This window comes from Homo sapiens, chromosome 5, assembly GCF_000001405.40.
Source record: "Homo sapiens chromosome 5, GRCh38.p14 Primary Assembly".
Lineage (NCBI taxonomy): Eukaryota > Metazoa > Chordata > Mammalia > Primates > Hominidae > Homo > Homo sapiens.
The window spans coordinates 43,402,753-43,412,733 of record NC_000005.10 but is presented as its reverse complement, the minus strand read 5'-3'; the positions used below and the strand labels follow the sequence as shown (position 1 = coordinate 43,412,733).

Below are 9,981 nucleotides of genomic sequence, written 5' to 3'. Positions count from 1 at the left end.
CCATCAGAATCACCTATAGAGCTTTTACAAAATTCAAATGACTGGTCTCCTACCTGGGAGTTCTGGTTTACAAATCAGGGAAAGGGGAGAGTCATTTAGATTGATTTTTTTTAATGTTCCCCAAATGATTCTGATGCACACCCCACCTCACAGTGACCCTGCCAGCTGCCAGATCTCCATTGACATCCCCTGACCCCCAGGCAGGATGAACACAAGTTAGGAGCTTAATAAGTCGAGGAGGAGCCTGGTCTTAAGGAAAGAAACATGAGAAATAGATACCCTGAACACCTCCCAGGGCGGGGCCACCTGGCTTACTTTTCCTCTGCACTTTCTCTGTGCCCAAGGACACCTTTAGCCTCATTTCCTGATCGAACAGCCTCACTTGTGTTGCTGTCAGTGCCAGTAGGGCAGGCAGGAATGCAGCAGAGAGGACTCGCCATCGTGGCCTTGGCTGTCTGTGCGGCCCTACATGCCTCAGAAGGTGAGTGGGGGCACTGGACACTTAGGCCTTCACTGGAAAGGGGGGTATCTCCCAAATCTGTGCTGGAAGGATTGAGGTGGGGCAAGAATATCTATCTCTTCAAGCAGGAATTTCCAATTGATTTCTGATTACCTACAAGAGAATGACATAGCTTTAAATTCTAGATCTCCCAGAAGTTTCAGGAAGGAACCTCATTCTAACAGGCATACTACAAATTTTTGCCACCTGGAGGATGAGGTCCTTCCATGTAGGTACAACTTCGAGCTATGTTTCCTTTTCTGAAGACAGTATCTTAGAAAATCCCCAGCTAGAGGCTGGAGTAAAGCCCCTACTATTCATCTGTCTTCCTCCACACCCCAACCTGCTAAACGGTCTGAACACAACTGTGCACATTCCTGGAGGGAAATACAGACTTGGCCAGCTGCGTTCAAATTAGGTAAGTTGTAAATTTCCTGAGCAAAGTCAGCTCTATGGATACAGAAAACTGAAACTTCAGTCTGACCTTTAAAAAGGGAGGGCAGAGCTGAGCACAGTGGTGCATGCCTGTATTCCCACCTACTTGGGAGGCTACGGCTGGAGGATAGCTTCAGGCCAGGAATTCAAGATTGCAGTGAGCTATGATCACACTGTGAATTGCCACTGCACTCTGAATTGCCACTGCACTCCAGCTTGGGCAACATAGTAAAACCCCATCTGTTAAAAACAAAAAGAGGGGAGGGGAGGGGAAAGAGAAGGAAAGGAAGAAAGGAAAGGAAAGAAAGAAAAAGAAGAAAAGCAGGATGAGGGAGATTGAACCATACAAATTATGTCAAAGAGAATTTAAATCGTGAGTTGCTAGCATGTATTTGGAGATTGTAACTGCATTTGAACTAGAGGGAATCTCTTCTAAAGTAGCACTCACTACTATATTCAGGAAACCCTAAGTGTCAGTACTTAATACTTGACCAATGACTCTTTTCCATTGTCATCTTTTCTTTAAGCTTTATCCTGAACAGATTCTCTAAGTCTAGAGCAGAGGTGGAATATAAGTCTTTGGTCTGCTTTTTAAAAATCTGAGCCAACATTTTAAAACTGAAAGCTTTCTCATGTACATACTCATACATACACACATACAAATTGGATTTTAAAGCTTCTCTTGAGAAATCAGATGTGGCAACAATGATTCCACCATACCATGGCAAGAACTGGCTAAAGCAGATGAGCCTCTGAAGTTTGCTGTATTAACTGCCTGGTCCCTGCAGGCATTTGCTTAGGGACTCCCAATATAGTCCGTCAATGTACTGGGCTTATACAAATAAGCAACAGAAAAAACCTGGACAATCTCTTCTCAATTTCTACTAATCTATCTATCTTATCAATATAAAGACAAAAATTTGTCACTTTATGTTTCTGTAACATTTCTCAGAAAAATTCACCATTGAGATTTGGGGACTCATTTTCACTATTTCTGAAAGGCCTACCTGCTAAGGCTTCACTCCTAGTTCTGGTAATTCCACCAACTCAAATTTTTTACATAAAACTTTGAAATGTGTACCTCCATCCAGCTTCCTGACCTACTCCCACCTGTCCCCACAGCGGCAGCTCTCCTACAGGAAAGGAGGGAGGGAACAGCAGGTCGAGGAGGCAGAGGGTAATGAGGAAGGCTCTGCCATACCCAGGACCCACCTTCACATGGGACTGAGTCCTGGTAGAGACGGTGGGGTGGAACGGCAAAATGCAGAGGTGTGTGAAAAGGTACGGCTGCTGGTGATAATAAGGAAGGGAGCCGAGAGACCCAGCAATAGCCTTTTGGGTTAGTCTCGATGCTTTACCTAAGGCAGTTTAGGCCACAGGAAAATCACATTGCCTGAGAAGCTCCAAACTTCTGTCATTTAAAAATAAGTGATACTGGGTAAAAATACACAAGTAGGCCTGAGAACAGTCGTGGAATAGAGGGGCAACGCCACAGCTATTCTTAACAAACTTCCACTCAAGTGTCCATGTAAGCCAGGTGCCCTGTGGGAGGCACTTAAGTGATTCTGGCTCCAGGGAGGGGGTGGAAAACCAAGTGGGGAGGGAGGAAGGTAGAGAACACTCAACAACTCAACAGTGCAGAGAAGAGGACAGGTGGCCTTGGCAAGGGGAATAGGAAAAAGGCCTGTGCCAGTTTGGAACTTTGGGAAATATATTTTGTTTCCTTGAGGCAGAAAGCTGTTCCCTTATCTTAATGGTGTCTTAAATGGCTATCTTGTTGTGATGGCTCAATAACTGGCATTCCCTAAGTGTTTTGCATAAATCAGGAAGCAGGTGACTTTATCTATAATTAAAAGCCTTGGATTCTGCCCAAAGGTAGGGCACACTCCACCTCTGCTGACGTGGCTGCTGGCTCCCAGAACTCAATACTGAATCCATAAACATGTCTATCATCCTGTTTCGGTGGCCCTGAGCCTGATTATTTAAACCCACAATCTAGGACTTTGTGGGCCTGGCTGTTTTATTGTACATTAAGATTAAGGCTCACTTGTGCCCAGCAGATTCAAGTTAGGAGGTTTTGCTGCAGTGAGTCCCAAATTGCCTTCCCACTGACAACCTTCTTTCTCAGAGTACAATGGCTACTGAATCACACCAATACTTGCTAGAGATTTGCTGCTTGCATCCTAAAACGTTTACCTTTTGTTTTAATCATAAGACTCTGGCTAGGGAAGGTTACCACGAATATACATTTGTGACTCAATGTTGTTCTGCACAATTGGGACTCCAATTGTGGTCCCTAAGAGGTCTGACATAGGTGGGACTACAGGTGCATGCCACCACACCTAGCTAATTTTTTGTTTGTTTGTTTTTGGAGATGGAGTTTGTTGCTCTTGTCGCCCAGGCTGGAGTGCAATGGTGCAATCTCGGCTCACTGCAACCTCCGCCTCCTGGGTTCAAGCAATTCTCCTGCCTCAGCCTCCTGAGTAGCTGGGATTAGAAGCGTGCACCACCACACCCAGCTAATTTTTGTATTTTTAGTAGAGACGGGGTTTCACCATGTTGGCCAGGCTGGTCTCAAACTCCTGACCTCAGGTGATACACCCACCTCGGCCTCACAAAGTGCTGAGATTACAGGTGTGAGCCACCATGCCCAGGCACACCTGGCTAATTAAAAAAATTTTTCTTGTAGAGATAGAGTCTCACTATGTTGCCCAGACTGGTCTTGAACTCCTGGCCTCAAGCAAGTCTCCTGCCTTGGCCTCGCTGCCTGTAATCCCAGCAATTGGGAGAATGAGGCAGAAAGATTGCTTGAGCCCAGGAGTTCGAGGCTGCAGTGAGCCATGATCGCACCACTGCACTTCAGCCTGGGTGAAAGAGTGAGACTCTCATTTCAAAAAAAAAAAAAAGTAAAAAATTACCAAAAAAATAAAATTACCAAAAATGTCACAAAAATTAAAGAATTTATCCTAATATTATGAAAGTTACAAATACTTAGTGTATTTTCAAATATAAAAATTTAAAGAATTAAAAAAAGGAAAGTCCCTCTTCATCATTCCTTTAATCCCTCTCCCCTCTCCAGAGGGTTCTGCATATCCTTCCAGAATTTCCTCTATGCATTTAGCAATGTGAACCCACACATACATCCACACCAATTTTTTTTTATTATACTTAAAGGTCTAGGGTACATGTGCACAATGTGCAGGTTTGTTACATATGTATACATGTGCCATGTAGGTGTGCTGCACCCATTAACTCATCATTTACAATAAGTATATCTCCTAACGCTATCCCTCCCCGCTCCCCCCACCTTACGACAGGCCCTGGTGTGTGATGTTCCCCACCCTGGGTCCAAGTGTTCTCACTGTTCAATTCCCACCTATGAATGAGAACATGCGGTGTTTGGTTTTCTGTCCTTGCAATAGTTTGCTCAGAATGATGGTTTCCAGCATCATCCATGTCCCTACAAAGGACATGAACTCATCCTTTTTTATGGCTGCCTAGTATTCCATGGTGTATATGTGCCACATTTTCTTAATCCAGTCTATCATTGATGGACATGTGGGTTGGTTCCAAGTCTTTGCTATTGTGAATAGTGCTGCAATAAACATACATGTGCATGTGTCTTTATAGCAGCATGATTTATAATCCTTTGGGTAAATGCCCAGTAATGGGATGGCTGGTCAAATAGTATTTCTAGTTCTAGATCCTTGAGAAATCACCACACTGTCTTCCACAATTGTTGAACTAGTTTAGAGTCCCACTAACAGTGTAAAAGTGTTCCTATTTCTCCACATCCTCTCCAGCACCTGTTGTTTCCTGACTTTTGAATGATTGCCATTCTAACTGGTGTGAGATGGTATCTCATTGTGGTTTTGATTTGCATTTCTCTGATGGCCAGTGATGATGAGCATTTTTTCATGGTCTGTTGGCTGCATAAATGTCTTCTTTTCAGAAATGTCTGTTCATATCCTTCACCCACTTTTTGATGGGGTTGATTTTTTCTTGTAAATTTGTTTAAGTTCTTTGTAGATTCTGGATATTAGCCCTTTGTCAGATGGATAGATTGTAAAAATTTTTCTCCCATTCTGTAGGTTGCCTGTTCACTCTGATGGTATTTTCTTTTGCTGTGCACAAGTTCTTTGGTTTAATTAGATCCCATTTGTCAATTTTGGCTATTGTTGCCATTGCTTTTGGTGTTTTAGTCATGAAGTCCTTGCCCATGCCTATGGCATGTATGGTATTGCATAGGCTTTCTTCTAGGGTTTTCATGGTTTTTGGTCTAACACTTAAGTCTTTAATCCATCTTGAATTAATTTTTGTATAAGGTGTAAGGAAGGGATCCAGTTTCAGCTTTCTACATATGGCTAGCCAGTTTTCCCAGCACCATTTATTAAATAGGGAATCCTTTCCCCATTTCTTATTTTTGTCAGGTTTGTCAAAGATCAGATGGTTGTAGATGTGTGGTATTATTTCCGAGGACTCTGTTCTGTTCCATTGGCCTATATCTCTGTTTTGGTACTAGTACCATGCTGTTTTGGCTACTGTAGCCTTGTAGTATAGTTTGAAGTCAGGTAGTGTGATGCCTCCAGCTTTGTTCTGTTTTGCTTAGGATTGTCTTGGCAACGTGGGCTCCTTTTTGGTTCCATATGAAGTTTAAAGTAGATTTTTCCAATTCTGTGAAGAAAGTCACTGGTAGCTTCATGGGGATGGCACTGAATCTATAAATTACCTTGGGCAGTATGGCCATTTTCATGATATTGATTCTTCATATCCATGAGCATGGAATGTTCTTCCATTTCTTTGTATCCTCTTTTATTTCATTGAGCAGTGGTTTGTAGTTCTCTTTGAAGAGGTCCTTCACATCCCTTGTAAGTTGGATTTCAAGGTATTTTGTTCTCTTTGAGGCAATTGTGAATGGGAGTTCACTCATGATTTGGCTCTCTGTTTGTCTGTTATTGGTGTATAGGAATGCTTGTGATTTTTGCACATTGATTTTGTATCCTGAGACTGCTGAAGTTGCTTATCAGCTTAAGGAGATTTGGGGCTGAGACAATGGGGTTTTCTAAATATACAATCATGTCGTCTGCAGACAGGGACATTTTGACTTCCTCTTTTCCTAATTGAATATCCTTTCTTTCTCCTGCCTAATTGCCCTGGCCAGAACTTCCAACACTATGATGAATAGGAAGGTGAGAGAGGGCATCCCTGTCTTGTGCCAGTTTTCAAAGGGAATGCTTCCAGTTTTTGCCCATTCCGTATGATATTGGCTGTGGGTTTGTCATAAATAGCTCTGATTATTTGGAGATACGTCCCATCAATACCTAATTTATTGAGAGTTTTTAGCATGAAGAGTTGTTGAATTTTGTCAAAGGCCTTTTCTGCATCTATTGAGATAATCATGTGGTTTTTGTCATTGGTTCTGTTTATATGCTAGATTACGTTTATTGATTTGTGTATGTTGAACCAGCCTTGCATCCCAGGGATGAAGCCCACTTGATCATGGTGGATAAGCTTTTTGATGTACTGCTGGATTTGGTTTGTGAGTGTTTTATTGAGGATTTTTGCATCGATGTTCATCAAGGATATTGGTCTAAAATTCTCTTTTTTTGTTGTGTCTCTGTCAGGCTTTGGTATCAGGATGATGCTGGCCTCATAAAATGAGTTAGGGAGGATTCCCTCTTTTTCTATTGATTGGAATAGTTTTAGAAGGAATGGTACCAGCTCCTTCTTGTACCTCTGGTAGAATTCAGCTGTGAATCCATCTGGTCCTGGACTTTTTTTGGTTGGTAGGCTATTAATTATTGCCTCAATTTCAGAGCCTGTTATTGGTCTATTCAGGGATTCAGCTTCTTCCTGGTTTAGTCTTGGGAGGGTGTATGTGTCCAGGAATTTATCCATTTCTTCTAGATTTTCTAGCTTATTTGCATAGAGGTGTTTATAGTATTCTCTGATGGTAGTTTGTATTTCTGTGGGATTGGTGGTGATATTCTCCTTATCATTTTTTATTGCGTCTATTTGATTCTTGTCTCTTTTCTTATTTATTAGTCTTGCTAGTGGTCTATCAATTTTGTTGATCTTTTCAAAAAACCAGCTCCTGGATTCATTGATTTTTTGAATGGTTTTTTGTTTGTCTATCTCCTCCAGTTCTGCTCTGATCTTAGTTATTTCTAGACTCCTGTAGGCTTTTGAATGTGTTTGCTCTTGCTTCTCTAGTTCTTTTAATTGTGATGTTAGGGTGTCAATTTTAGATCTTTCCTGCTTTCTCTTGTTCACATGTAGTGCTATAAATTTCCCCCTACACACTGCTTAAAATGTGTCCCAGAGATTCTGGTATGTTATGTCTTTGTTCTCATTGGTTTCAAAGAACATCTTTATTTCTGCCTTCATTTTGTTATGTACCCAGTAGTCATTCATGAGCAGGTTGTTCAGTTTCCATGTAGTTAAGCAGTTTTGAGTGAGTTTCTTAATCCTGAGTTCTAGTTTGATTGCATGTGGTCTGAGAGACAGTTTGTTATAATTTCTGTTCTTTTACATTTGCAGAGCAGTGCTTTACTTCCAACTATTTTGGAATAAGTGCAATGTGATGCTAAGAAGAACGTATATTCTGTTGATTTGGGGTGGAGAGTTCTGTAGATGTCTATTAGGTCTGCTTGGTGCACATCTGTGTTCAATTCCTGGATATCTTTGTTAACTTTCTGTCTTGTTGATTTGTCTAATGTTGACAGTGGGGTGTTAAAGTCTCCCATTATTGTGTGGGAGTCTAAGTCTCTTTGTAGGTCTCTAAGAGCTTGCTTTATGAATCTGGGTGCTCCTGTATTGGGTGCATATGTATTTAGGATAGTTAGCTCTTCTTGTTGAATTGATACCTTTACCGTTATGTAATGGCCTTCTTTGTCTCTTTTGATCTTTGTTGGTTTAAAGTCTGTCTTATCAGAGACTAGGATTGCAACCCTGTTTTTTTTGTTTTCCATTTGCTTGGTAGATCTTCCTTCATCCCTTTATTTTGAGCCTGTGTGTGTCCCTGCACTTGAGATGGGTCTCCTGAATGCAGCGCACACTGATGGGTCTTGACTCTTTATCCAGTTTGCCAGTCTGTGTCTTTTAATTGGAGCATTTAGCCCAATTACATTTAAGGTTAATATTGTTATGTGTGATTTTCATCCTGTCATTATGATGCTAGCTGGTTATTTTGCCCGTTAGTTGATGCAGTTTCTTCCTAGCATCGATGGTCTTTACAATTTGGCATGTTTTTGCAGTGGCTGGTACTGGTTCTTTCTTTCCATGTTTAGTGCTCCCTTCAGGAGCTCTTGTAAGACAGGCCTGGTGGTGACAAAATCTCTCAGCATTTGCTTGTCTGTAAAGGGGTTTATTTCTCCTTCACTTATGAAGCTTAGTTTGGGTGGATATGAGATTCTGAGTTGAAAATTCTTTTCTTTAAGAATGTTGAATATTGGCCCCTACTCTCTTCTGGCTTGTAGAGTTTCTGCTGAGGGATCAGCTGTTAGTCTGATGGGCTTCCCTTTGTGGGTAACCCGACCTTTCTCTCTGGCTGCCCTTAACATTTTTTCCTTCATTTCAACTTTGGTGAATCTGACAATTATGTGTCTCAGAGTTGCTCTTCTTGAGGAGTATTTTGTGGCATTCTCTGTATTTCCTGAATTTGAATGTTGGCCTGCCTTGCTAGGTTGGGGAAGTTCTCCTGGATGATATCCTGAAGAGTGTTTTCCAACTTGGTTCCATTCTCCCCGTCACTTTCAGATACACCAATCAGACGTAGATTTGGTCTTTTCACATAGTCCCATATTTCTTGGAGGCTTTGTTCATTTCTTTTTATTCTTTTTTCTCTAAACTTCTCTTCTCACTTCATTTCATTCATTTCATCTTCCATCACCATACCCTTCCTTCCAGTTGGTCGAATCGGCTACTGAGGCTTCTGCATTCGTCACGTAGTTCTCGTGCTGTGGTTTTCAGCTCCATCAGGTCCTTTAAGGACTTCTCTGCATTGGTTATTATAGTTAGCCATTCATCTAATCTTTTTTCAAGGTTTTTAACTTCTTTGCCATGGGTTCGAACTTCCTCCTTTAGCTCGGAGTAGTTTGATCATCTGAAGCCTTCTTCTCTCAACTTGTCAAAGTCATTTTCCATCCAGCTTTGTTCCATTGCTGGTGAGGAGCTGCGTTCCTTTGGAGGAGGAAAGGCACTCTGATTTTTAGATTTGTCAGTTTTTCTGCTCTGTTTTTTCTCCATTTTTGTGGTTTTGTCTACCTTTGGTCTTTGATGATGGTGACGTACAGATGGGGTTTTGGTGTGGATGTCCTTTCTGTTTGTTAGTTTTCCTTCTGACAGTCAGGACCCTCAGCTGCAGGTCTGTTGGAGTTTGCTGGAGGTCCACTCCAGACCCTGTTTGCCTGGATATCACCAGCGGAGGCTGCAGAACAGCAAATATTGCAGAATGGCAAATGTTGCTGCCTGATCCTTCCTCTGCAAGCTTCATCTCAGAGGGTCACCCGGCTGTATGAGGTGTCAGTCGGCCCCTACTGGGAGGAGTCTCCCAGTTAGGCTACTCAGGGGTCAGGGACCCACTTGAGGATGCAATCTGTCCATTCTCAGATCTCAAACTCCATGCTGGTAGAACCACTACTCTCTTCAAAGCTGCCAGATAGGGACGTTTAAGTCTGCAGAAGTTTCTGCTGCCTTTTGTTCAACTATGCCCTGTTCCCAGAGGTGGAGTCTACAGAGGCAGGCAGGCCTCCTTGAGCTGCAGTGGGCTCCACCCAGTTCGAGCTTCCTGGCCATTTTGTTTACCTATTCAAGCCTCAGCAATGGCAGACGCCCTTCCCCCAGCCTCACTGCCGCCTTGCTGTTCAATCTCAGACCGCTGTGCTAGCAGTGAGCGAGGCTCTGTGGGTGTGGGACCCTCCAAGCCAGGCATGGGATATAATCTTCTGGTGTGCCGTTTGCTAAGACCATTGGAAAAGCGCAGTATTAGGGTGGGAGTGTCCCGATTTTCCAGGTACTGTCTGTCACGGCTTCCCTTGGCTAGGAAA

The 9,981-nt window shown here is 42.5% G+C and overlaps 1 protein-coding gene across 6 annotated transcripts in view; it reads left to right on the top strand.

Annotated features, from left to right (window-relative positions):
• Window positions 1–342: 342 nt before the first annotated feature.
• CCL28 (C-C motif chemokine ligand 28) overlaps window positions 343–9,981 on the top strand; it is a 55,417-nt gene continuing 45,778 nt past the window's right edge. For all 6 annotated transcript variants that reach the window (XR_427660.3, XR_925633.3, XR_241706.4 and 3 more), the window contains exon 1: window positions 343–481. Coding sequence is in view for 3 of the 6 variants with exons in the window: in NM_001301874.2 (NP_001288803.1) it covers window positions 418–481 (64 nt within the window). In the remaining 3 variants the exon portion in view is untranslated. The remainder of the gene's footprint in view (window positions 482–9,981) is intronic.